Genomic DNA, 27525 nt, shown 5'->3' with positions numbered 1-27525 from the left:
ACCTAATATTTAGGACAATTCCATAGTTTGGAAATCAATCAACCTACTTCTAAATAATCCACGGGCAAAGAAGAAAATCACCAGGGAAAGTAGATAATGAAAGATAATGAAATACAGTTTTTCAAAATTTGGGTGATGTAGCTAAAGCAGTGCTTATAGGGAAATTTATAACTTTAAATGCTTATATTACAAAAGCAAGAAGACTTAAAGTCAATGACTTAAGGTACCACCTTAAGAATCCAGAAAAAAAGCAAAGTAAACCCAAAAGTAAACAAACAGAAGGAAATAACAAAGATAAGAGCAGAAACCAACGAAATAAAAGAGAGACAAACAACAGGAGAAAATAAACAAATTCAGCCATGTTTTGTGTGGCCAGAGAGAAGCCCAGCTCAGAGAGAAGCTGGGCGGGCTTCTCTGTGGCCACACGGATTGATTCATTTGGAGTGGGAGAGATAACATGAAATAATAGGTAATTACATCCTTTTGAGTTTTTTGTTTTGTTTTGTTTTGTTTTATTTTAAATAAGAGACAGGGTCTCACTTTGTGGCCCAGGCTGGAGTGCAGTGGTTCGATCTTAGCTCAGGGCAACTTACGTTCTTGATGCTTTTTGCTTTTCCCCCTCACAACCGAAAGAGAAAGTTTTTGCCAGCAGGTGGCAGCGCTGGTGCCTGAAAACGCCAAAAAGCATCGTCCTGGGTTGGCCCGGAGACTAACGATTGCCGCCGGGCTGACACGGGGCAGTCATCTGAAGACAGGAGACAGTCAATTCCAGAAAGCAAATCCCCACTCAAACTTAGAAAAAAGCGATTTTACAAAAACATCTGAACTCTAAATGTTGGTGGAGTTAAATCTCGAAAGACTTGGCTCTTCAAAGCCAGGGGTTCTTTACGGGAAAGTTGGAAATGGGCTTCAGAAAACCTCTCCCCGCATTGTATGCAAATCTGCCCCCCCCCTTTTCTTTTTCCCTGGGAGATCGTCCAGTTATCAGATTCTCAAAATGGACAGCGACTTAAAGCAATTAAAGACCACTGCGACAAATGCTCCTGCGAACACCACTCCGAAGTTAATGGCGCAGACGTCTGGACTTTAAAAGGTGGTGGTAAAGTGCGCTCAGGCATGGGTAGGAGGTGCGGCAGGCGGGGCACAGCTACTTGCTTTCATAATTTTTTTTTCTTCCTGATGGACCAATGCTGTGAAAAATCCTCAGTGGGGTTTTGGAGCCGAAAGGGAGCGACTGCAGTTTGCAGGCTTGCTATGTGTGCCAATCAAGGTGTTTCTCATAAATTTCCTCTTTTAATCCTTGCGGCAATCCTCTGAGTTCGGTGTTAACATCCTTAATATTATTCCTAAAAATCCATTAAGAGGGCTCTTAATGGAGTGCCAGCTTTTGTGGTCCTGGATTTTCAGTGGATGCACACACTGACCATTCCCCTCTCTCTTTTACATTCAAAACTTCCGTGAGATTTCCTTTGTTTAAATGAACTTTCCTTTATAGATAGCCTTTCATTTGTTTATTTTGTCTGCCTCTTTCAATCAAGAGGCACCCTCCCCTCACAATCGGCAGCATAAGCACAGACGTAAACGCAGGAACCAATGCGATTTTAGGTTGAATTTAGGACAGCGCTGGAACTTCACTTTACCCCTCTTGCGGTCACACGAGGTGGGCGGCGGCCCCGGCAGGGTTTGGGCGGGAGAAACGCGGTTCGGGACTCCGCTGCCGCCTAGGCGCGGGGCTGACCTGCGGGGGTGGGGTGGGGGGAGGGAGGTCGAGGCCCGGCCCCACGTGGCCGCTGCTGCCGGGCTCACCCCAGCCCCGCCCGGAGGCGCCCCGCGGCCCCGGCTAGCCAGGGCGGGCGGCCACCTCTGCCCTACTCCTTCCCTCCGCGTTCCGGGCCTCGGAGCCGCCTTGAGGAGGATGAGTCCCTGGAGCTGGTTCCTGCTGCAGACCCTCTGCCTCCTGCCCACGGGCGCAGCTTCGCGGCGCGGGGCGCCCGGCACCGCCAACTGCGAGCTCAAGCCCCAAGTAAGGCGCGCGTCGGGTGCTGGAGAGCCGGCCTCTCTGCACCTCCTTGGGATGGTTTCCCTCCGAACCCCGCGAAGCAGCGCTTTCGGACCCCGAGCCGACTTCCGCGGCTGGGCTTTCACCTAGCACCGCGGCGCTCCTTGCTCGCTCTCCTCTCCGTGCCCTCGGGTTCCCCTTTCCCGCGGGGGCGCAGCCCGCAGGCTCCAAGCGACTCAGTGCCCTGGCCTTTGCCCTCCGCCAGCCCAAGGGCGTCCGAGAGAGCCTCTGGGGTCTCGCCAGCCATTTTCGCGAGCTTTCGGGGGACGGATCCGCCAGGGAGTACCGGACCAGGAACTTGGGCACATTTATTTGAAGTTTCTTCTTCCCTCTCTTCCTTAAGAGTTTAATTTCACCTGCTCTTATCAAAATATTAACAGCGCCCTGAAGCTGCTTGGCTTAACCTTCATATGTTCAGTGCCTGAGTTAGAAGGGACTTTAGGGAGTTGAAGCCATTTCCCTTGTTTTTACCGATCTGGGAAACTGACACTCAGCGGGGGACCTGTGTGCTCCAGGTCACAGAGTGCGTTCGCGGAGTGACCACTGTCCGAGCCTTGCGTGTCCAGCCGGGCGCTTTAGATGTTCGCATCAACGTTTTGTGGGTGAGGGAAACCCAGGCAAGGGAGGCTCAGTGACCTGCCCGAGTCAACACAGCTCTATAGCGGACAGGTCTTGCGTCTCCGAGGCTGGACCTCTTTCGAGATGAATATTTCCTTCTCTGATCAGTTTTCCTACACTCAGAATTTTCTGTGGTTCTCGAGTCCCTCTCTTCTGAGTGCGGCATAGGTTGAATTTCGCGCATTTGTTCCGGTGGGTTTGATATCTGTGCGTCCCTGGCTCTGGAGAGGGCCATGCCAGGCTTATCCTTCTGGTGCGCCCGCGACGCGGGGGTGGGGGGGGTTGGGGGTGGGTTGAGGGAGTGGGGGCTGGAATTTAGAGGCCCACCTTTGATGACACCTGCGCAGCTCCCCGGTCTGCCTCCACCCCTGGCCATTCGCAATTTTATTCCTCATCCCAACTGCAGCAAAGCAGAGGACGGCCAAATAGAGCCGATCCTGGAGCTCCGGGCTGGGAAGACGCACGGTGTTCGCCTCTGTAAGGCGTCGCGGGGCTGCGGACGGCCCTCTACCAAGGCAGGAGGCGCGGCAGCTGGAGAGGGGAGTCTGCACCAGGCATGGTTTCAAACTCTGTTGCGGTGTGGCCGCTTCATGCTTGTTAGACAAGGCAGGAGTCCATCTCCTCACAAGAAAGCACATTGCCTTTCACTTCTGCAAAACCTATTACCGACTGGTAATTATGACGAGTGAGTCTGGATAAGATCTCTCTCCTTTAGAATCTGTCTTTATGAGTCCTTTATTCCATCGTCCTACCTTTTGGTCTCAGGACTCCTTTACGTTACAAAAAATTATCAAAGAAGCCCGGCATGGTAGCTCACTCCTGTAATCCCAGCACTTTGGGAGGCCAAGGCGGTGGATCACTTGAGCCCAGGAGTTGCAGACCAGCCTGGCCAACATGGCGAGACCCTTGTCTCTACAAAAAAATAAAAAAAATTACCAGCGTGGGGACATGTGCCTGCAGTCCCAGCTACTCCAGAGACTGAGGTGGAAGGAAACCTTGAGCCTGGGAGTGGAGGCCAGTGAGGTGTGATTGTGCCACTGCACTCCAGCTTGGGTGAAAGAGCGAGACCCTATATCCAAAAAAAAAAAAAAAAAAGTATTGAAAACCTCAAAGACTTTTACTTTATGTGAATTAATGGAGATAGTAGTAAAACACAACATAGCACACATTCCATTAGCCATCAGAGCAGTGACCTCATCACACACATGTAGCCTCCAGAAAATTCTACAGTACCTTGTGAGAAAATGAGGGTGAAAGGAAAATATCTTAGTTTTATAAAAACAGTTTTGACCTTATAGACTCCCTGAAAGGCTCTTGGGGACACCCACAGGTCCCTGGACCATACTTTGAGAATTGCTGTTCTATTCTGTGGGCAAACTCTGTCTTACCCCCTGCGGAATTGGGAAGGCCAATCAGCGGCACACATGCTGTATGTCTGACCCACATGCTGTAAGGGCATTGTGGTTGGGTTCCTCAGTGGGTTGGGGTCTTGAGATTCTAGAGTGGAAGTCCTGGGATCCAGCCTCCAATCCAGTGCAGCAGCCCCTATAGGATTCTGCAGGACTGTAGCCTTGAGAGCTGGTTTGGTTTTCATGGTTGGTTAATCATTAGAGAGGTCTTCTGAGCCCAAATTGGCCCCTAGACACTGCAGGGTTTACCCTGAGCACCACGCAGGTTGAGTCTCTTTCTTGTCAAACAGAACTCTTAGTGTTCTTTCCTATTCCTGCCTGCTGCCTTTTTTTTTTTTTTGAGACAGAGTCTTGCTCTATCTGTCACCCAGGCTAGAGTGCAGTGATGCTACATTGGCTCACTGCAACCTCTGCCTCCAGGGTTCAAGTGATTCTCCTGCCTCAGCCTCCTGAGCAGCTGGGATTACAGGCGCCCACCACCAAGCCCGGCTAATTTTTGTATTTTTAGTAGAGATGGGGTTCCACTATCTTGAGCAGGCTGGTCTCGAACTCCTGACCTCATGATCCACCCGCCTCAGCCTCCCAAAGTGCTGGGATTATAGGCGTGAGCCACCGTGTCCAGCCTGATGCCTTTTATACTTGCTCTTTCTTCCCCCTGGGAAATTCTCCCCTCATTTATCCACAGGCTTGCTCCCTTACCTCCATCTGGCTTTGGCTCAAGCGTCTCTCAATGAGTTTCTTCCTGATTACTCTCGTAAAGGTGACATCAACTGCTGCCACCACTACCATCTGCCTTCCCTGCTTTATTTTTATTTATAGCACTTAATCACCATCTGATAAAAATTTTTGTTTATTGCTGCCCCTTCCCCTATGTCATCTTCATAAGGGTAGGGATTTTTGTCTGTTTTGTTTGCTTCTGCATCCCCAGTATCCAGAAGAGTGCCTTGCCATAGCAGATGCTCAAAAAATATTTGTTGAATGAAAAGGATAATGTAAAGCCAGCTTCATTGTGGCTGGTCTGCTGAAGAGTAATCTTGGAAAAGTGCAGTTATTGCAGGTCCAGGGATGCTAGGATGGGAGGAGCTGAGGGTGTGCTGGGTGTTACGGAGTTAGCTTGCAATATGCAGTTGTCATTGTGCCTTGTTCTTTTTCACTGGATGGACTACACAGGTGTCTGTTAAAATCTCAGTTTGATTCAGAAGCTTGTAGCTTCTGTGTCTCAGTCACCCATGGCCATGTTTTCTCTCTCTCTTTTTTCTTTTTTGAGACACAGTCCTGCTCTGTCACCCAGGATGGAGGGCAGTGTCGTGATCATAGCTCATTGTAACCTTCAACTCCAGGCCTCAAATGGTCCTCCTGCCTCAGCTTCCCAAAGTCTTGGGATTACAGGCATGAGCCACCATGCCCGGTTGTCTTTTCCTTCTGGGAACAGTTGCAACAAGTTAGAAGGGACATGTTAATCGTGGTTCAGTTTTTTTTTCTTTTAAACCACCCTAATGTTAAAATCTATGGCTTCTTCTAATTGCCATATATTTTAACAGTGAAATGGGGTAGTGAAGGATTTTTTTTTTTTGTAGAGATAAATAGCCCTACCCTGAGGATATCAGTATGAGAGAGGCAGAGGCAGTTGCACCAGTACAGTAAGTGCAAGGGTCCGGGGGCTCGCCAGTGGGCAAAGTAAGGTAAAGAAGAGTCCTGAAGACTCTTCTTTCAGCCTGTGCCCTGCTGAAGACATGTCTGGTAGGGCAGGATCAGTGTTCCACAGGAATGGTTATTGGTGCACACAGTGGGAATCCGGGTGCCCTTTGGTCAGAACAGATCTGTAGGTATTGAAGAAATTGTACAAGATAAGATTCATTTCTTTAAAAAACTCTTTTTGAGCTCCTATGTAGTAGTATATGGCAAGTATTTCAGTATTTGGGGATATGAAGGTGAATAAGATACAGCCCTTGGCATAAAAAAGCAGAAAAGCCCCTGAGCTGTGTTAACTTGAAAAGAGAAAATGGGAAAGGTGGCACCTGAGGATGTAACAAGGTCAGTGTGGTTTATCTGGGCAATCATCTGGGATCGGGAAGATGAGCTGGACAGAGCCTTTCTAGATTTGGAATCAGGTGGTGCTCCTCAGCAACAATACAACTAGCAGGGTATTAACTGAAAAAAGATATGACTCTGAATCAGAGGTAAAGTCTATTGCATGTTAAGGCTGCATAAATATGGCGTTTAAAAGCTTGGACTCAGGAGTCAGCCTACCTGTCCACCACTTAGCATGGGGCATATTTTTGCTCCCACCACACCACTAAAACTGTTCTTGTCTGAGTCCCTAGTGACTTCAGTGTTGCTCAATCCAGAGGTCAGTTCTCAAATTCTTGATTTATTTGGCCTACCATCCACATTTAACCCGCTTGCTTACTTTCTGCTCCTTGAAGTACTTTCTTCAATCGGCCTCCTACTCTTCTGATTTTCCCAGCAACCTTGCTGGCCACTTCTCATTCTCCCTTGCTAGCTGCTCTTCTTTCCCCAGACTTCTTAGGGTGAGAGGGCCCTGAGTCTATTCCTAGAACTTTTCTCCTGTGGACATCCTGTTGGAGACCTTGTCTAGTCCCATGGCTTTAAAGAACATCTACATGGTGATGATGCCCTCATCTTCATCTCTGACCCAGGCCTCTCCCAAGCTCCAGACTTACATATTCACCTACCACCTGGACCTTGGCACAAGTTGTATGCTTGACATGTCAATTGGACAGATCCAAAACCAAATTTCTGACCTTCCCCTCTAATCCTGTTTCACCCCCGTCCTTCTCCATATCTGTTAATGATAACCTCATCCTTTCATCAGGAAGTCCTGTTTTCTTTCCTTTTTTTTTTTTTTTAATTTTGAGATAGGGTCTCACTCTGTTGCCCAGGCAGGAGTGCAGTGGTGCAATCATAGCTCACTGCAGCCTCATCCTCCCAGGCTCAAACCATCTTCCTACCTCAACCTCCTAAGTAGCTGGGACTGGAGGTGCCTGCCACCATGCCTGGCTAATTTTTAAATATTTTGTAGAGACAGGGTCTTGCTATGTTGTCCAGGCTGATCTCAAACTTTTGGGCTCAAGCTTCCCAAAGTGTTGGGATTACAGGCATGAGGCACCGTGCTGGCCAGCAAATCCTGTTTTCTAGACTACATCTGGAATTTGATCACTTCCCATCAATCCTGTCACTCCCACTCAGATTATTTTGGTAATGTCCTAACTGACCTACTTGTGTCTGCCCTCATCCCTCTATTCATCCCAGCCTCCAGGGCGAGCCTTTGAACACACTGTCAGCTGATGTCACTCCTCTCTCAAAAACCTGGGCTAGCTCCCATCTGAATCAGTTGAAAGCCTGAGCCCTTCCTGGGGCCTTTCCAGAGGCCCACCGACCCTGCATGGCTTGACCTCACTCACCTCTCTGACCTCTGCCTCCTGCTTTTCTGTTCAGCTATCCCTCTCTGTCGTGCTGGCCTCCTTGCTGGTCTTCCAGTACATGGAGGCCCTCCCTGCCTCAGGGCCTTTGCATGCTGTTTCTGCCTCCTGGAGGGAATGCTCTTCTCTTAGATATCCCCATAGTGGGCCCCTCGTCTCCTTCACGGCAAGGCTTAGATGTCTTTATAGACATTCAGTGACTTTTCTGGTCCCCCTACTTAAAGTCACCCCTGCAACCCTGTGCCACAGTACTCACTGTCCCTTTTCTGGCTTACATGTTCTTTTTGTGGTTTTTGCTGTCAAATGATCCCTTATTGAAATGTTTTCCTTTGTGCTTCTTAACTAGCTGGGCATTCCACTGCACCATTGTTGATGTCATGAGTGTGGCAGCCATCAAGATTCAGCCCACAGACTGGGAAGTCCCCAGGATCTCTTTAATGGTTCCAGAAAGTTCTCTGGCTAAAGATTGGTGATGCATCTGTTGAGCAACGTTGACGACCTCATCAAAAGTGATATTTCCACTGTGTTTAATGTTTTCCTGTTTCTTTCTATTTCTTGGTGGTTCCTTGAAGGCTTCGAGGGCAGAAGCAGAAGGTACCACCTCAATCTGGGCCTCTCTGTTCTGAATGGTCAGTTTCACTGTAGTCCTCAGACCCCTCCAGTCACTGGTTGGCTTGGCAATGTCATCACCAACCTTTTTTGGAGACAGACGCAGGGGGGCTGATCTTGGTGGCCAGCACAGATGAGGCATTGACTTCACTCCCGGTGCAACTCAGGTATACGACTTTGATCTTGTTAGGGTCCAACTTAGGTGGCATGGTCAAGTCGGCTGGTGTCAGATGAACCCAGATTTGGGACACTGGAAGAAAGTTACATCTTGGCCTCCTCCAGGCTGAAAGACTTAAAGCCAGCTTACATGTTCTCCACAGCAATTGGCACCAACAGGGAACTGTGTGTCACTCACTGTTGTATTCTCTGTGCCTAGAACAGTGTCTGGCACATGGTAGGCTCAGCAGAAATAATTGTGTTGAATGCAGGCAGTGGGACAGTCCAGGCGAAATGCTTGGGTGGAGGCTGGCACACAGTGAACAGCTGCTGTTAGCATCGGTACTGCCATTACATGGCTAGAGGCCAGACGTGTATGTGCGTGTGTGTGTGTTTTTAAATTTAATCAGTTTTCAGTGAAAAGATCATACAGTGACCTTATTTCTAGACCAGTAATAGTTGAAAAGGCAACAATAAATAAATAATAAAATGAAAATGGATGCATACTGAACAGACTGCTTCTGAAGAGAAATGCAGGTATTTTGAGGTAGGATGGGGACCTTAGGCAGATTAAGTGTATTGGATAAAAACAAACCAAAACCAAACCAAAACGAACCCCACCCCTCCATTATCCTGCAGTATGGGTTTGATTTTCCTGGGAATATATTTGTTTAACATGATGGTGTCCTGATAGATGACAATGAATCAGGTGTCCATGGGTTTAATAATAACATTTCAGCTTGTTTGCTGTGTCTCCCAGTTGGAAACTATGTAGAAGTTCTTGGGTAGACTGCCTGGACATTGTGCAATTAGATCTCTTATATAGGTCAGTGGTCCCCAGACATTTCATGAACCAGACCTCTAAATGAACAAATAAACTAAAATTACTCTTCGAAGGCTGCCTCTACCTATTTGTAGGTAATAATTCTTACCTGTTTACAATTAACCAAAGACATAACTGTCAATCTCAACTTTTGATTAGCATCTATTTTAGTTACCCAGTGTCTTCTACCCTTTTGATCTAATTCTAACCAACAGTGAGACATTTGATTGCTTAATTCGCCTTAGCAGGCGTTCTTGGTAGATGTACAGTTTCCATTTCGTTTTTGAAGTATTTAAATAACCTCAGGGGCCCTTATTACTGCATAAGAGGATGCCTAGGGGATGGGGACCCTGTACGTGATTCATCTGTTAATATTACTTCAACAATCAATGGTTTTTAATTTTTTTTTTTCTTTTTTGAGACAGCATCTTGCTCTGTTGCCCAGGCTGGAGTGCAGTGGCGGGATCTTGGCTCACTGAAACCTCTGCCTCCCGGTTCAAGCGATTCTCCTGCCTCAGCCTCCTAAGTAGAGTAGCTGGGACTACAGGCGCTTGCCACCATGTCCGGCTAATTTTTGTCTTTTTAGTAGAGGTGGAGTTTCATCATGTTGGACAGGCTTGAACTCCTGACCTCAAGTGATCCACCCTCCTCGGCCTCCCAAAGTGCTGGGATTATAGGCGTCAGCAACTGCGCTCGGCCTAAATTTTTTTTTTTTTTTTTTTTGAGATGAAGTCTCGCTCTGTCCCCTAGGCTGGAGTGCAGTGGCGCTATCTCTGCTCACTGCAACCTCCACCTCCTAGGTTCAAGCAATTCTCCTGCCTCAGCCTCCCAAATAGCTGGGACTACAGGCGCAGGCCACCACACCTGGCTAATTTTTTGTATTTTAGTAGAGACACGGTTTCACCATGTTGCCCAGGCTGATCGCGAACTCCTGAGCTCAGGCAATCCCCCCGCCTCGGCCTCCCGAAGTGCTGGAATTACAGGCGTGAGCTACTATGCCTGGCCAATAAGGTGCCTTTCAGTAGAAGCACACATAAAACAAGGCTATGTATTGATCAATTGATGAAAATGTTATGAACAAGAACTTAACCCTATGTTTCCCCTAGGAACAACAGTTTAGTATTTGCTAATTTTGTGGCAACTTTATAAAATATAACTACCATGAATAATAAGAATTGCCTGTAGATAGAAACTTCATGATCCAAGGGAAGCATGTTACTTAAAAGGCTGAAGTCAAATACTTTAGTAAAGGGAATATGTTCCAAATATTTCTTTCTCCCTCCCTTCTTCCCTCCCTCCCTCTAGTCCTTCCTTCTCTCTCTCTTTCTTTCTTTTTCTGAGACAAAGTCTCATTCTGTTGCCCAGGCTGAAGCACAGTGGTGCAATCTGCAGACTCAACCTGATGGGCTCAAGCAATCCTCCCACCTCAGCCTCTTGAGTAGCTGGGACTACAGGCATGCACCACCATGCCCGACTAATTTTGGTATTTTTTGTAGAGATGGGGCTTTGCTGTGTTGCCCAGGCTGGTCTCAAACTCCTGAGCTCAAGTGATCTGCCTGCCTCAGCCTCTAAAGTACTGGGATTACAGGTGTGAGTCACCATGCCTGGCCGAAATATATATAGTCTTTCTATAACCCTAGATTTTCACATTTCCGGCTTTCTTAATACATTGTTCTTGTCACTGGTATGTCTGCCATTTACACCTAATTCCTTGAGCACTGCACTTCTTTGTACAGTGCCTCTTAATAAGCAGATATGTTATAAATGCCAGTTGTTGAGGATGAGAGACACTCAGGGGCCAGGAGTGAAATGGCCTGGCTTCAGACGAACATGCACCGCTGCTCAGCATGTGCAACTGCTTGGAGAGAATCCATCCAGCAGAGATCATCCAGATCTCTGTGATTGAAACTGAAGGCTTTGTGAGAGAAATAAGTGTGATCCACGTCCTAAAGGGACAAGAGCAAACTGTAAAATCATAGGCTCATTAGGACCCTAGTTTCAACCTTGGCGGTACATTGGGGTCACCAGGGGAGCTTTAAAAGTAGCATCTCTGTGGCCGGAGCAATGGCTCACGCCTGTAATTCCAGCACTTTGGGAGGCTGAGGTGGGCGGATCACAAGGTCAGGAGTTTGAGACCAGCCTGGCCAATATGGTGAAACCCCGTCTCTACTAAAAATACAAAAATTAGCTGGGCGTGGTGGCGAGTGCCAGTAGTCCCAGCTACTCAGGAGGCTGAGGCAGGAGAATTGCTTGAATCCGGGAGGCTGAGGTTGCAGTGAAGTGAGCCAGGATTGCGCCATTGCACTCCAGCCTGGGCAACAGAGTGAGACTCCTTCTCAAAAAAAAAAAAAAGTAGCATTTCTGAGTTCCACCTCCAGAGATTCTGATGTGATTGGTCTGGGGTGGGACCCAGGCATTGGACTTTCAAAAGCTTTGGGGGTGATTCCAGTGCATAGCTAGAGTTGAAGCCTCTGCCTTTGGGGATGTTGGTTTTGAGATCTGAAAGAGCAGGGATCATCAGGTCTGCCTGGGAGACAGTGGGCTTCTCAGGTGTCTCTTAGATGGTATCAGGTATATCCTTGGAGGCCCCTGAGACTCACTTCTTTAACTCTTGCCCAGTTCATTGCTAGGGCAGGCATGGCACAATCTCAAAACTGGTGACTGCTATTGCTTTCTCATCTTGGAATCAACATTTTGATTGAAAAGGGGGTCCCATCCCCTTTTGATTGAAAAGCTGAGTCTCATCCCAGACCAATCAGATCAGAATGTCTGGAGGTAGGACTCAGAGATGCTTCTTTTAAAGCTCCGCTGGTGATCCCAACATACAGCCAAGGTTGAAACTAGAGTCCTAATGAGCCCCTGATTTCATAATTTGCTCCTGTCTATTTAGGGCAATGGATTGTCCTGGCAGGTGAATCTACACGGACTCAAAAGTCTAAATTCTACTTTGATATCTTTTCTCTTGAAATGTGACTGATTCATTTCCTCTCACAGGTTCCTGACCATGCCTCTCCCCCATATTATACCTTGATGTTACCTCTTTTCTTTTCAGCAAAGCGAGCTGAATTCCTTCTTGTGGACCATTAAGCGAGACCCACCATCTTACTTCTTTGGCACAATCCATGTCCCGTACACCCGAGTTTGGGACTTCATCCCCGACAACTCTAAGGAGGCTTTCCTGCAGAGCAGCATTGTGTACTTTGAGTTGGATCTCACAGACCCCTATACCATCTCAGCTCTCACCAGCTGTCAGATGCTGCCACAGGGCGAGAACCTCCAAGATGTGCTCCCCAGGGACATCTACTGCCGCCTCAAGCGCCACCTGGAGTATGTCAAGCTCATGATGCCCTTGTGGATGACCCCAGACCAGCGCGGCAAGGGGCTCTACGCAGACTACCTCTTCAATGCTATTGCCGGAAACTGGGAGCGCAAGAGGCCTGTCTGGGTGATGCTCATGGTCAACTCCCTGACTGAAGTGGACATTAAGTCCCGTGGAGTGCCTGTCTTAGACCTGTTCCTTGCCCAGGAGGCTGAGCGGCTGAGGAAACAGACTGGGGCAGTGGAAAAGGTGGAAGAGCAGTGCCATCCATTGAATGGGTTGAACTTTTCACAGGTAAGACTCTCTTTGCATAAAAGACTTAGTGGCATTTGGTTGTATGGGTGAATCTGTTGAGTTTCAGGGCAGGTGATGGATCACGGGCACAGCTTGTCTAGAAATTGTCTTTGCTTAAAAATGCTTTTCCGGGGGTTAAAAAAAAAGCCAAGTGGTCAGTTATATCACTTATTTGAGTATTGCCAAGAAAAAAAACTTGTTTTTTTCTTATCATTCCAACAAATACTGTGTACTTTTTTTTTTTTTTTTTTGGGACAGAGTCATTCCACCCAGGCTGGAGTGCAGTGGTGCGATCTCAGTTCACTGCAACCTCTGCCCTCTGGGTTCAAGCATTTCTCCTGTCTCAGCCTCCCTAGTAGCTGGGATTACAGGTGTGTGCTACCACGCCCGACTACTTTTTGTATTTTTAGTAGAGACGAGGTTTTGCCATGTTGCCAGGCTGGTCTCGAACTCCTGACCTCAAGTGATCTGCCTGCCTCGGCCTCCCAAAGTGCTGGGATTACAGGTGTGAGCCACTGTGCCTGGCCCATACTGTGTGCTTTTAAAATGCATCTTAGTTCAGATCCTTCATTAAAAAGCTGCTTTGAGACGTTGTGGACATGTGGATGCCACACTGGTTGTCACAGGGCATGGCCTGGTTTGAAAATATACTGGCCATTGCTACTTTAGGAGACAGCAGTCTCTTTGAGGTCACTACTGTCCCTCTTTAGGACACTGCCCCAGGACAGTTCCTTTCCTAGGCAGAGTTATGCTCTTCTTACCCCTGGTTTAAGGATCCTACCCCAGGGCATTGGAATTTAATTTGATGTTCAAGAAGTTGGTTCTTCAATTCTCATAAGTAATACTTGATTAAAGTGCCATGGTTTAGTTGTTTCCATAAAAGTTGTTTAAAGTGCATTAGACACTTCTGGAGACCAATGGGAGTCTTGCAATATGAAATAAAGTGTTCTTGTTTTGTAAATGTTCTCATTGGGTCACGTTGAGGTTTTGTTCCTCAGAATTTGAGATTACTGTTAATCCAAATAGCTCAGCCTTAGCAGATCTTGACATACTGAACTAAGGTTGTTATTTAAAAGGTGTAAGGACATGTAACAATCTAAAAATAATGTTCCTGAGTTGATAATGATATCTTTAGGGAATTTATCTTGCTAAAATTCTATAATATTAATAAGTAATCCGATGCTATTCTATATGCTATAGTATTTGTTTGGCACACTAAGATTTATAGATAAGATAAGGGATCATTAATTGTCTGCATTGATCTCCTGGGAAAGATTTTCTTGCATTATTATGGAAACCCAAAGAGCCAATGTTATAACCTTTTCAATGTCTGCATTTAATATAATATTTTGAAAAAGAAAGGTGCTTTGATTTGAAGGCTTATTGATTTTGACGGAATGAATTTGAAATTGGTGAGCATTTTAACCTGAGCCAAAGCCTTCTTTCATACTCCCAATTGGGGAAAAAAAGCTTGGAAGTAAAATATTAGCTCAAGCAAGGTATCTTTGAAGGAAGGTGTGCAACACTGTCTCTTTTTTCCTTTCTTTCTTTTTTTCTTATACTTTAAGTTCTAGGGTACATGTGCACAACGTGCAGGTTTGTTACATATATATACATGCGCCATATTGGTGTGCTGCACCCATTAGTTAATTAGTTAATGTTAATTAGTTAACTAGTTAATTAACTAATTAACTAGTTAACTAATTAACTAATTAGTTAATTAGTTAATAGCTGCACCATTAGTTAATGGGGGAGGATAATGCTATCCCTCCCCCCTCCCCCTACCCCATGACAGGCCCTGGTGTGTGATGTTCCCCTTCCTGTGTCCAAGTGTTCTCATTGTTCAATTCCCACCTGTGAATGAGAACATGCGGTGTTTGGTTTTTTGTCCTTGCGATAGTTTGCTGAGAATGATGGTTTCCAGCTTCATCCATGTCCCTACAAAGGACATGAACTCATCCTTTTTTATGGCTGCATAGTATTCCAAGGCGTATATGTGCCCCATTTTCTTAATCCAGTCTATCATTGATGGACAATTTCGGTTGGTTCCAAGTCTTTGCTATTGTGGATAGTGCCACAATAAACATGTGTATGCATGTGCCTTTATAGCAGCATGATTTATAATCCTTTGGGTATATAACCAGTAATGGCATGGCTGGGCCAAATGGTATTTCTAGTTCTAGATCCTTGAGGAATTGCCACACTGTCTTCCACAATGGTTGAACTAGTTTACAGTCCCACCAACAGTGTAAAAGCGTTCCTATTTCTCCACATCCTCTCCAGTACCTGTTGTTTCCTGACTTTTTAATGATTGCCATTCTAACTGGTGTGAGATGATATCTCATTGTGGTTTTGATTTGCATTTCTCTGATGGCCAGTGATGATGAGCATTTGTTCATGTGTCTGTTGGCTGCCAAAATGTCTTCTTTGAGAAGTGTCTGTTCATATCCTTTGCCCACTTTGTGATGGGGTTGTTTGTTTTTTTCTTGTAAATTTGTTTGAGTTCTTTGTAGATTCTGGATATTAGCCCTTTGTCAGATAAGTAGATTGCAAAAATTTTCTCCCATTCTGTAGGCTGCCTGTTCACTCTGATGGTAGTTTCTTTTGCTGTGCAGAAGCTCTTTAGTTTAATTAGATCCCATTTGTCAATTTTGGCTTTTGTTGCCATTGCTTTTGGTGTTTTAGTCATGAAGTCCTTGCCCATGCCTATGTCCTGAATGGTATTGCCTAGGTTTGCTTGTAGGGTTTTTATGGTTTTAGGTCTAACATTTAAGTCTTTAATCCATCTTGAATTAATTTTTGTATAAGGTGTAAGTAAGGGATCCAGTTTCAGCTTTCTACATATGGCTAGCCAGCAACACTGTCTCTTAAGATAACATATTTCAGAGATATTTTAGAGCACTATAATTATAGACTACAGTGTCATGTTGATTTTATAACACATTCTTAGGGTTTGTGTAGGTGTTTAAGATGTATAAACTAAATTTCTTATAAGACCTTGAGGTTAAGCTAGCAAGGTAGAGTTGTTTAAATTCAGGAGGAAAACGACTTGTTCTTAAAAGTCTTTTTTTCATGTAACTTCCCCATGTTTCATTTCTAGAGATAAACAGTAAAATACTCACAACCTGAGTATACAGCCCAATGACTTTTTTTTTTTGAGACAGAGTCTCACTCTGTTGCCCAGGCTGAAGTGTAATGGCACGATCTCAGCTCACTGCAGCCTCTGCCTCCCAGGTTGAAGTCATCCTCCTGTCTGGGATTACAGGCACCCGCCACCACGCCTGGCTAATTTTTATATTTTTAGTAGAGATGGAGTTTCACCATGTTGGCCAGGCTAGTCTTGAACTTCTGGCCTCAAGCGATCTTCCTGCCTCAGTCTCCCAAAGTGCTGCGATTACAGGCGTGAGCCGCCACACCTGGCCTCAGTGTATGACTTTCAACCATCACTTAACTTCTCTAAACTTTAGTTTTCTCATCTTTCCAATGGGGATAATAATACTTGCCCTACCATCCTGTTGTCAGAAGCAAAAAAAAAAAAAAAAGCAGGAAATTGGAAAGCACTTCATAAATAAGATATAAGCAGAAGGGAGTGAACATACAGTGCCTACCATGAGACAGTCCTCACTGATAATTTTATATTTAACTCTCAAACTTCTCAAGATGAGTGGTATCATTGATTTTGCAAAGGGAAATTGTTTTTCTTCTTGGTTTCCTATAGACAAAGATTTTTTTTCAAAGAAGTTAAAGGAAAAGAGGACAGAAGCATAAAACAGAAGGGCTAGCAGAGGTTGCAAATAAGAGGCATATGGGCTGAATCCGACTTGCAGTTCTGTTTTATGTGGTTAGCATGATTTTTTTTCTTTTTTAATGACTAAGTTGACAATATTTAAAAATTGAGAAATACCATATGGAGAACAGCCTGGATTCTCTTGGGCCATGCTCCCACATAGCAGCAGTTGGCTGGACTGAGCACTGGCCGCCCCCTTTAGATGTGGCCAATATTGTCTTTCCAGTTTGGCCGCAGTCCCCACTCCTCCCTGTTACCTTTCACCTAGACATCTTGACTTCTTTTAACTCATCTGCCTGGCCCCTGTAGGCCTTGTGGCTCTTGGTTTGTGGGGTGTAGTCCCTGAATCTAACTGAAGTCTGGCAACAGGTTAGGACCCTGACACGGATGCCTGGATTTGATCTTGTCATCTCAGGGCAGACATCATCCTTGCCCCTCGGTATCGAATCAAGTTATGACTCCTGTTCTCCTTCACCTGAAGTTCATGCCTGCTTGGTACTGCCAGCTGCATTGGCATTCCCTATGTGAAGGAAGCACATAGCTTGGACCTGGAGGCTCAGCGGAGTGGGCTCAGCAGGGTGGTGTCTCACTTCTTCTCTGTCTGCACAGGTAGGTTCCCCTAGAGAAATGGTCTTGCTAAATCCCATCTCCATGTTCACACATCACCAGGCATCTATGGACAGGCTCCGGGCATAGGGAATTGCAATGCCTGCTCTGCCCATCTAAGCATAGGACTCTCCTGTCCACTTCCCCACCAAGTGATCGGACGTCGTGGTGGGGTGGGGCAGGAATCTGGGAAAGCTCCGGTCTCCTCAGCATGGAATCTGTCCTTTGGGACCCAGTCACATCTTGGCTTGGGCTCTTTCTTGTCATATCCCTAAGTGAACATGAATGTAGCCAACAGTTCTGGAGTTTCCCTCTGCTTTCCACATGCAAAGCCTGCATCTTTGGGCTTTCAACATCCTAAGAGGCAGTTAGTTGGATGTAAAACTCCTTTTGCAAACCCCAGAGTTGACGCTGAGGTGCTCTTATTTGAATTGCTACTGTGCAAAGCATCACTTCTTTGTTATTGTTTACTCTTGCCAATAGATGGCACTAACATATTTCATATTTGCCTTTTTGGCTGTCATTCTTTTGTACTTTCCAGGAGGATGGTCACTGCCAGTTCTTGTTCTTCAGGACCCTAACAACTCACTTTCTCTTTTTTTTTCCCCACAATGCAACATTCAATAGTGGTTTGGGCTCAGTGGACATACTTCCAGATTGTATGAAACTGCAATTCTTGAGCTATAGTTTTGGGGTGTTGGAGAAGATGGGGAGCAAGTTGTCTTTAGTTTGGTCGGTCACCTAATAGAAGAAACAGATGGCTCCAGGATGATTCTCTGGAAAGGTCCAGGGCAGAGTGGAGTGGTTGAGGCAGCCCACTCCCCAGGAGCCCTGTGGTCTGACTGAGGAGGAAGGGGAAATTCCTAGAAGGATGCCACCTCTCTCAGCCTGTGGTTATTAAGGGCTAGGTGGATGCTGGAGGAGTGGGAGCTGGGGAGGTGCTAGATGGCCTGAGGAAGACTCCTGTGGAGGAAGGGGTCAGATTCTTTGAGGATGGGGTGGCCTGCCAGGCCTAAGGAGAGGATCCCGGGGATACCATGTGGTGCCTTGTTTTGTACTTTGCAGGTTTCTGCATATTCTCACATCAGTGCCATGGGTCTTAAGAACAACCCCTGGGGCTAGGAGGTCTCTGTTCCTAGAGGCCAAGGCAAGATTGTGGGGGGTCAGCCAGCAGAGGTCACTGGGGATGGTTTCCTGCTGGACTAACCCGAGAGAGGCCCATCTGGAAGCAGAGGGTGGGCTGGCCTGGGGTCACAGCAAGAGTTAGTGCAGGACAGGCCTAGGTTCTCAGATCTCCTGTTTCTAATCCAACTCTGCCTCTGAGTGTCATGCGGGACCCCTATTGACTTCAGTGGGGATGGCACTAGGTTCAAAAGGCGGAAGAAGAGACCCAGAGCCAGCAAATGAGACACAGGGTTTATTGAGAGGACTGACTTACAGGGTGATCCAGTGGCAGTGGGCTGGACAGGAGAATCCCAATCGCTTGCAAAAAGCCTGCAGTTGATAAATCACCTTCACTTAGCACCTGCTCCTACATGGCAATCCTCATTTAACTCAAAGCAAAGGGCCTCAATCCCTTGTGTGGTCCATGTTCCACAGGATGGGCCAGGGGTTCACATGTTCCTTATAGACAAGGAATGAATCTCTGGATTCCTTAGCTCGGAATTCTGAACACACATTCTTCTTCTGAAGTTATTGCTGTCAGGTGCACCTACACTGAATGCTGCCAACTGCCAGACTTAGAGGAGTAATTGGCTGAGGGATTCTGGCTTCCCCATCATAAATTCCAAAAAAAGCAGGAGATCTCATTAAAAAAAAAAAATTGACTATGATGCTCATAGATGACTTTTCCACATTTTCCATGATCGATTTGGAAGTTGGTTGAAGATGGAGATCCTGACATTCTATTTTTCCTCGATAGTCTTGGTTTAAAATAAAGGCCTAGGAAAAATATGTGAACTTTCTGAAAGAGAACTCTTCCCTTTCTCGTCAGGAGATCGAGACCATCCTGGCTAACACGGTGAAACCCCGTCTCTACTAAAAATACAAAAAATTAGCCAGGTGTGGTGGCGGGCGCCTGTTGTCCCAGCTACTCAGGAGGCTGAGGCAGGATAATCACTTGAACTCGGAGGGCAGAGGTTGCAGTGAGCCGAGATTGCGCCACTGCACTCCAGCCTGGGCATCAGAGCGAGACTCTGTCTCAAAAAGACAAAAAAAAAAAAAAAAAAAAAAAAGAAAATTTGAATAGAGCCTTTCTAAGAGCTATGTAGATATAGACTGGCATCTTAAGATTCACATGGGGCCAGGCGCGGTGGCTCACACCTGTAATCCCAGCACTTTGGGAGGCCGAGGCGGGCGGATCACGAGGTCAGGAAATCGAGACCATGGTGAAACCCCGTGTCTACTAAAAATACAAAAAATTAGCCGGGCGTGATGGCTGGCGCCTGTAGTCCCAGCTACTTGGGAGGCTGAGGCAGGAGAATGGTGTGAACCCAGGAGGCGGAGCTTGCAGTGAGCCGAGATTGCGCCACTGCACTCCAGCCTGGGCGACAGAGCGAGACTCCGTCTCAAAAAAAAAAAAAAAAAAAAAAAGATTCACATGAAGTCTAACCTTTTGGGAGCAATTTGCTTTTATCTCAGTCTTTTGCTTTTTTACATAATTTCCCAACACTGCTATGTATTATTTCCTGTTCTTAGGCATGGTTGGGCTGAAGTGCTGCAGTTACTGTCGGTACCCTGGGAGTCTGACACGTCTATTCCTTGGATAAACCATGTCCCGGCTTTCACATAGGCGTCAATACAGATGTTGTACGTGGACCGTGTCTTCACAAATTAGAAGTCTGGGTGGGTTCTTAGCTCTCTCGGGAGTGTCTTTTGCAGTTATTTTTTTCATGTTGGACATCCCTTTAGTTTCTGATTTTTTTGAGCAGAGCAGAAAATCAAACCAACGTTGTACCTGAATGGCTGGCTGTGAAGCTCCTGGGCTCGCAGGTGCAGACTTTAGCTCTGCTTCCCCCTGGGCACAGGCCTGCTCAGGACTTGAGCTGTCTTTCATTTTATGGCCCCTTTTTATTTGGGACACATTTCTTAAGCACTCAGCATAGGTGATGCACTCTGTTTCTAATTTTGGGGATTCAAAGACAAAGCAAGTGTTGATTCTCCCTTCCCCTGGCTCTGGGCTGCCCCTCTAAAGTCCAAAGCGAACTTAAAAAAAACCAAGAATAGGTATTTTTGTACCTATTTTTGTACAGGTACCTGGATGCCACACATGCTGCTGGGGTTCTGACCATGTTGTGGCTGTGTCTGACCCTGCCCAGCTGCTTTTGGGGTCCTAAGAGAGGCCCTTCAAGGGAAGTGCAGCCTAGTTTCTGCCTCATATCCCTGCCTCCTGCCCTGGTGAACTAGGCTGGCAGTAGAGAGCTCCTTTGAAACCCTAGCAGCCAGCTCTTCCTTGACACCTGCTTGGTGGATCAGCCCAATGACACGTCTAGACTTCAGGAATAACTCCCAGCATGTCTCCATGCGAGAAAAAGTGAGAACACGAATTCTTCATCCCTCCTCCAAAGAGTCCCCCTGCCAGGTAGGGGTAGTTGAGGCAGAGTCTACCCCACTTGGGGGAGAGGAAGAAGGGCAAGGAGCCAGGTGGGACTGGGGCCAAGTTGTACTGGGATCCTCCAAGGAGCTGGTTAAGGTGTTGGGGTCAAGGTGCTCCATGGCCCAGGGACAGAGGAAGTGGGGGCTGCCCTGGACCCTGAGGTGGTTACTGGTGGTGTAGCATCACGTCATGCCACGGGCATTAGGGCGCTTCTTCTCTGTATTCTTTTTCTCTGTCCCTCCTGACACTTTTTGTGTACCTCCCTGAACTCTTCCACGAGGCTCTTCCCTTTGCATTCACAGTCATTTAGAGCTTAAAAGGGAGCTTCAGCAAGAGCTTCAGAATCATAAAATGAGGAATCCTAACAGGAGAGACCTCATTAGCCTCTCAATGCTCAGGTGAGAACTGCAGCTCACACTGAGCTTCTGCTCTTGCGGGTGCTTTGGGCAGGTGAGGTTGTTTATCGCTGAGCAGAATACAGGCAGGTAGGTTGCTGCTGCCTGACTTTCGGGGAAAGGACAGCTCTGGGATGCTCTGTGCTCTCTGGGGCTTCAGTGCTGTCTGAAGAGGCTGCCGATGGTTGTTGACACAACCCAGGCCCAGAAGTGACTTTGAAATGCTGTAGAGCAGGGGTCCCCAATCACCACGCCACAGATGGGTACTGAAGCTTCATCTGTATTTACAGCTGCTCCCCGGCCATTCCCTATCACTCGCATTACTGCCTGATCTCCTCCTCCTGTCAGATCAGTGGCAGCATTAGATTCTTATAGGAGCATGAAGCCTATTGTGAACTGTGCATGCGAGATCTAGGTTGTGTGCTCCTTATGAAAATCTGATGCCTGATGATCTGTCACTGTGCCCCAACACTCCCAGATGGGACTGTCTAGTTGTAGGAAAACAAGCTCAGGGCTCCTACGGATTCTACTCTATGGAGAGTTGTAGAATTCTTTTATTAGATATTACAAAGTAATAATAATAGAAATAAAGTGCACAATAAATGTCATGTGCTTGAATCATCCCAAAACACTCCCCCAACAGCACCCCTCACCTGCTCTGTGGAAAAATTGTCTTCCACCAAACTGTACCTGGTGCCAAAGGTAAAGCCCTATTGGCCTCACCTCCCTGTAAATCGATCTACGGCCCTGTAAATCGATCGCCAGGCTGATGGAAAGTGTTTGCAGATGTCTGAGGCATCTTGTGACTGAATCCAAGCTCGAGGGCCTGATACCTGCCTGAGCACCTCCCCACTGCTCCCACCTCCCTTTCTGGATCCAAGACTTTCAAGATCCTGTCAACCCTTCACATTCCTACCCAGCCCTGGCTCTGCTTCTCAAATGTGGCCTACATCTGGCTTCTGCCAGTGGGTGATCTGGGGATGACCCCACACACCTTCTCCACCTCACCAACAACCCCCAACCCTGACTCTGCTGTTGCTGTGACATTTCAGAAAGCAGGCGCCATTGCCTACAAGGCAGAGAGGAGAAACTGTGGAGGATGAAAGAGAGAAGGAAATAAGCAGAGAAAAGGAGGCTTAGGAAATGGATTCTAACAGCACAAGACTGGAGCTTTCTTCTTGCTTTTCTGGTCCTCTCCCTAGGAGATGATGTAGAAATCACTGTTAAATAACTGCAGTGGACATGAGGGTTTGTATTAGTTTGCTAGGGCTGCCATAAACCAAGTACCACCAACCGGGTGGCTTAAACAACAGAAAGTGTCGGCCTCATGATTCTAGAGGCTAGAAGTCTGAGAATTTCTAGTGTCGGCAAGGCTGGTTTCTTCCAAGGCCTCTCTCCTTGACTTGCACATGGCTGTCTTCTCCTTCTGTCTTCACGTCTTCGTCCCTCTGTCTGTCTGTGACCTAGTCTCCTCTTCTTATATGGACACCAGTCATACTGGATTATGGCCCGCCCTTTTCACTTAAAGGCTCTATCTCCAAATAGTCATTTCCAGAGGTATGGGGGGATGGATGGTTAGGACTTGGGCATATGAACTTAAGGGGTACACAGTTCAGCCCATAACACAGACCCAGGGTAAAGTTGCAAAGTTTGAGCAACTTTGACAGGAAGGAGATTTTGCATCATTTCAAAGCTGTCTTTAGGTGTCCAATCAAAGTGAAAACATTCTGTAGAAGGTTTTTCACCTTGATGCGTGTGTGGTGGGGAGGAGAGTGTCCAGCTGTGCCAAGTTCATGGCAGGTGCTTGCATTGTGGCTAATTCTCTTATAGCAAAGTTCACTTGAGCCCAGGAGTTCGAGACCAGCCTGGACAACATAGTGAGACCCCCCCCCATCTCTCCAAAAAATAAATGAGACCGAGCCATGAGCCAGATAGGCCATTTGGACTGCCAGTTTCCTACCTGTGATGTAGAATGTTCAGGCTAAACCAGTGGTTCTCAAAGTGTGTCCCTGGACTGGCAGCATCAGCATCATCTGCAACTTATTAGTAATGCAAAATTTGGAACCCCCATCCCAGACCTCCTGAACTGGAAACTCTGGGGTGGGGCCAGCCATCTTTGATCTAACCGGCCCTCTGGGTGTTTCTGATGCACAAGCAAGTTGGAGAACCATTGGGTCCTATTCTTGGTCCCTGCTCCAGTCCTGTTCTTGTATTGCCACAGTGCGTTACCTCAAGTTGCAGGGCTCAGAAGACCCTCTTTTCTCCTGAACTCATAGCGTCTGCTGTCCATACCACCAATGAGAAGTTATTCATTTGCTTCCATGCGGTGGCTGTTGAATTATCACGCTTATGGTTATTTAATTCTTTTGTTGGTGATTAACTTTCCAGATGTTTATTTTGTCTTCTGGCCTGGCACATAAACTTCTAGAGAGCAAGGATCTTGATTTACCCCCACTTTTTTTTGGTATGGGTCTAGCATAGTGCCTTGCACATGTGGGTGTTTACTAATTGCTGGGTGCAATTGGAGGGAGGTAGTTTTCTGATAGCTCAATCCGGCCATACTGTATTAAAAGACCAAACTACAGCATTTACTCTTTGCTGGCTGTTTCCATCTTTACCCTGACTTTTTCTCTTCTGTTGATCTTCCCAGAATCATTTCCTTCCTGCCACCAGGGCAGAGATGCTGCTTACACAATAATGTTAGTGTGCCATTTTCCTGGGGAGTAACTTCTAAACAATAAAAAAGTGAAAGTTAAACACACCCCGAGGGCAGTAGTCGGTGTGTGGCTCATGGGCTGTGGGGGCAGAGACCTTCCTTCCCTTGTGAGGGGTAGTTTTTGAATCTGTGATGCAGGTTTTTAAAAAATTTTTTATTTCTGTAGAGATGGGGTCTTGCTATGTTGCTTGGCTGGCCTCAAACTCCTGGCATCTAAAGATCCTCCCACCTCTGCCTCCCAAAGCATGGGGATTACAGGTGTGGACCACTGTGCATGGCCAAATGGGAATCAACCACCCCATGGTTCCACTGGAGTTTGAACCCAGGACCTTCAGTGTGTAAAGCAGACATGATAACTGTTACACTATGGAACCATGTGTGGTGCAGCTTTGTAGCTTCTCTCCAAACCAGTCCTGAACTTCAGGGAGCCTCATATTGATTGAAGAGCCTGAAAATGAAGGCTGCCCCGAGGCCCTTGGTTGCTGGGAGCAGAAGTGACAGACATCCCTGTGGTGGGGTGGATTTTGGGCACAGCCTATCCTCATGAACCCAGTTTTAGTCCCTTCCTCCTTCTCTGGGGCTGTCATGGTAGAATAACTGCCTAAGAATGTGATTGATGAGGAAAAGGTATACAAACTTTATTTTCTAAATGTTATCCAGATTAATGAACATACTGGAATTTGAGCTGGATTTTCAAGGGAAGGCTAGCATTTAGTCAGGTAGGAAAAACAGACAGCTATTCTGAATGGGCCAAAAGCGCAGGCAAATCTGGGAAAATTTGTGCTCTGCTGGCCACAGGGTGGCAGGCTGGGTTGGCTATATGAGCATTTGTGTAGGGGTCTGGTGGGAGACGATGTTGGAGGGAGCTAGAGTGTGGGGCTGGGAAACTCAGGTGTGTTCTATGCATAGAACGGCTATACAGAAGCTATTTTTAGTGGGGAGGGAGAGGCTGGACATGGTGACTCAAGCCTTTAATCCTAGCATTTTGGGAGGCTGAGGCAGGAGGATTGCTTGAGGCTGGCTGGGAGTTCAAGACCAGCCTGGGTAACATAACAAGACCCCGTCTCTACAAAAAGTGAAACATTAGCTGGGCATGGTGGTGAGCGCCTGTAGTCCTAGCTACTCAGGAGGCTAAGGCAGGAAGATCACTTGGGCCCACAAGTTTGAGGCTACAATGAGCTATGATTGTGCCATTGCATTCTGGCCCGGGTGACAGAGCAAGACTCTGTCTCTCTAACAAAATAGAAAATAAAGTGGAGGGAGGGATAGCACACAGCAGTGCTGCAGGACAAGGCATTTGACCGCTGAGTGTGGCTGGGTAGGGGGAGACACCCATCTACCTGGCAGTGGTGTTGGAGGTTGCCTCTTTGCTGGGATCCCGGGCCGTCAGAAGGAAGACATCGGGAGTCTGGGAACTAAGACAGCTGGGGAGTGAGATATTTGACTTATTGAGTTGCTTCATGTGTGGACTTGATAGTGATTGTCATGTAGTTTGTTGTACAAGGGAAAACCTGACATGGATGCTGATCATGGATATTGCAGAAAATTAAGAGAAATGCCAGGGACTCTGTGGAACTGATATAGTTGATAATCATTCAGATGAACTGCTTAGCACTCATGCCTAACTGGCCCCAGGCACAAGTTCACATGCGGTTAAGGGTGGGTTATTAGCTTTATTGTGCTTTTGATTTGGTTCTTCATATGATTCTTCATAGTTTGTTGACATAGTCTTGAAGCTGGGTTGTCTTGTCACAACTTTATAAAATGTAAAGGAAACTTACCTACCAAGCAGTAAAAGTTACAAGAATGGAGACCTTCTGAGACAGTCAGGAAGTGCTTGGTAGAGGCTGGACATTTACTAGGCCTTGGAGATGGAGAAATTAGTATTTATTCTTATTGTTGCCCCAGCATTGTGTGGGATTTGGGGGAAGGAAGTGTATTAGCCTGCTTGGGCTGCTGTAACAGAATACCACAGCCTAGGTGGCTTCAACCACAGAAACTTATGTCTCACAGTTCTGGAGGCTCCAAGTTCAAGATCAGGGCGAATCCTCTCTCCTTGGCTTGCAGACGGTGTCTTCTTGCTGTGACCTCACACAGCCTTTTCTCTGTGTGAGCCTCAGGAGAGACAGCTCTGGCGACTCTTCCTCTTTTTACAAGGTCACAGTCCTGTTGGGTCAGGGCCCCGCCCTTATGACCTCATTCAACTTTAATTACCTTCTTAAAGGCCCTTTCTCCAAATATGGTGACATGGGAGGTTAGAACTTCAACATGACCTTTGGCGGGGACACAATTTAGTGTGTAACGGGAGAAGATGGATGTGCTCATTTAGCCCTTGGAAGTCAGGGCTGGAGCTGAACTGATTGAAAAGGAGAAAAAATGGTCAGGAGATGTGACCAAAGCGAGCAGAAGACTTCGGGGGTGTCCAGGAGGCAGCGGGAAGAAAAGAGAGGGAAGGTCCAGCTGGCCATGTGCATTCTTCCAGGCTGTGTGCCCTCCTGGTGTTCAGGAACCGTCATCATTGACAACATAGCACTTCTTCAGATTAAAATGTCACTGAAGATCAGTTTATCTCGTCCTTATGCTTGAGTCCTTTTGTTGAGAACTCAGGTTCAAGTTTTGAGAAGCGCTTCCCTGCTGCCTCTGCCAAAAAGCAGACCTAGACATCCAAAGAAGTGTGTGGAAGCTTTAGCTCCCGAGTCTGGCAGCATCCATTCACATGACAAGAAGGAGCAGGACTTTCATCACCTCCTTGGTTTGAGGGGCCAGTCTAGACTCTTCCAAGGGAATAGTCCCTTTTCAGGTAAGGGAGGAGGTATTTGGAAGAGTGGCTGCGAAGGTAGAAAATGAGCCTGAGAAGGACCTCCCCACTGCACGGAGACCTAGGTGAGGTGGGGAGGCAAGGACCAGACACCCTCAAGATGTCTTAAAAAATTATCTGGGTGAATGGTCTGAGGGCAAGGGAGACCCTTCCCCTACTCTTCTTAACTATACTTCAAGGGACTGAATGGCTCTCAAAAGTGAACTAAGATAAAAAGAAGACACAACAACTCCACACTCCAGAAGGTGAGGCCTGCGCTTGAACAGATGCGAGGCCCTTTGTTTGAGTGCGGGGAGGCTAGTGGGGTGGTGCGGGCCACTGTGAGCCGCGTAATGGGCGGTGCCTTTCATATGCAGAGCAGGTCTTTGATCTGAGGGGAATGAAAGTGCTGGAAAGAGGAGAGACTCGCTGGGGGGCCTTTGTTTTTGACAAAAAAGACATCTGCCGGACTCGAACCCCCTCACCCACCCCCTCAACCCCTGGGCTAACGCAACAATGCCCCAACTGGGACTTGGGTCTCCCCACAGCTGAACAAGTCTCAGGAAAGAGAAAAAGGTCTGCTGCAAATGTGGACAGGAGCTTAATCGATTCTTTCCACAGCCCAGAAAGAAAGGGAGAGAGAAGAAGGGCTGTGGGGAGGCAAGGGGAGAGTGGAAAGGGGGACGTGGGGGCTAGGGGGCAAGGAAGGGTAGAATTTGAACCCTGAAGTAAACTGTCTGGTGATAAGCCTGTAAAGTATTCTCCAGTGAGCACAACGTTCAGAAGGCAGTGCAGGTGGAGTGAATATGTGTCATTGGAGGGAGGGAGAAGGGGATTCAGCTGATGATAAGCCATGATTATGGTTAGACTGATAACCATTTTTTTTTAAAAAAAGGGAG

The 27525-nt window shown here is 46.9% G+C and overlaps 1 protein-coding gene and 1 pseudogene across 4 annotated transcripts in view, besides 3 other annotated features; one reads left to right on the top strand and one right to left on the bottom strand.

Annotated features, from left to right (window-relative positions):
- Positions 1626–2126: an enhancer, noted in NCBI's record as "H3K4me1 hESC enhancer chr2:85107953-85108453 (GRCh37/hg19 assembly coordinates)". NCBI's record gives its function as "activates a minimal SCP1, AML or CMV promoter by ChIP-STARR-seq in naive H9 embryonic stem cells {active_cell/tissue: H9 hESC(naive)}" and the evidence as "EXISTENCE:reporter gene assay evidence [ECO:0000049][PMID:30033119]".
- Positions 1767–1896: a silencer, noted in NCBI's record as "silent region_11688". NCBI's record gives its function as "represses an Ori minimal core promoter by ATAC-STARR-seq in GM12878 lymphoblastoid cells {active_cell/tissue: GM12878}" and the evidence as "EXISTENCE:reporter gene assay evidence [ECO:0000049][PMID:35858748]".
- TRABD2A (TraB domain containing 2A) overlaps positions 1871–27525 on the top strand; it is a 59419-nt gene continuing 33764 nt past the window's right edge. For all 4 annotated transcript variants that reach the window (NM_001080824.3, NM_001277053.2, NM_001307978.2 and 1 more), the window contains exons 1-2: positions 1871–2023; positions 12170–12730. In NM_001080824.3, the coding sequence (NP_001074293.1) occupies positions 1916–2023; positions 12170–12730 (669 nt within the window). In that variant the 5' untranslated portion in view covers positions 1871–1915. The remainder of the gene's footprint in view (positions 2024–12169; positions 12731–27525) is intronic.
- Positions 2127–2629: an enhancer, noted in NCBI's record as "H3K4me1 hESC enhancer chr2:85107450-85107952 (GRCh37/hg19 assembly coordinates)". NCBI's record gives its function as "activates a minimal SCP1, AML or CMV promoter by ChIP-STARR-seq in naive H9 embryonic stem cells {active_cell/tissue: H9 hESC(naive)}" and the evidence as "EXISTENCE:reporter gene assay evidence [ECO:0000049][PMID:30033119]".
- RPL12P18 (ribosomal protein L12 pseudogene 18) lies at positions 7827–8428 on the bottom strand (annotated as a pseudogene).

Source organism: Homo sapiens, chromosome 2 (genome assembly GCF_000001405.40).
Source record: "Homo sapiens chromosome 2, GRCh38.p14 Primary Assembly".
NCBI classification, from domain to species: Eukaryota; Metazoa; Chordata; class Mammalia; order Primates; family Hominidae; genus Homo; species Homo sapiens.
Note: the sequence above shows the minus strand (reverse complement) of the source record. Positions and strands in the feature narration are given on the sequence as shown.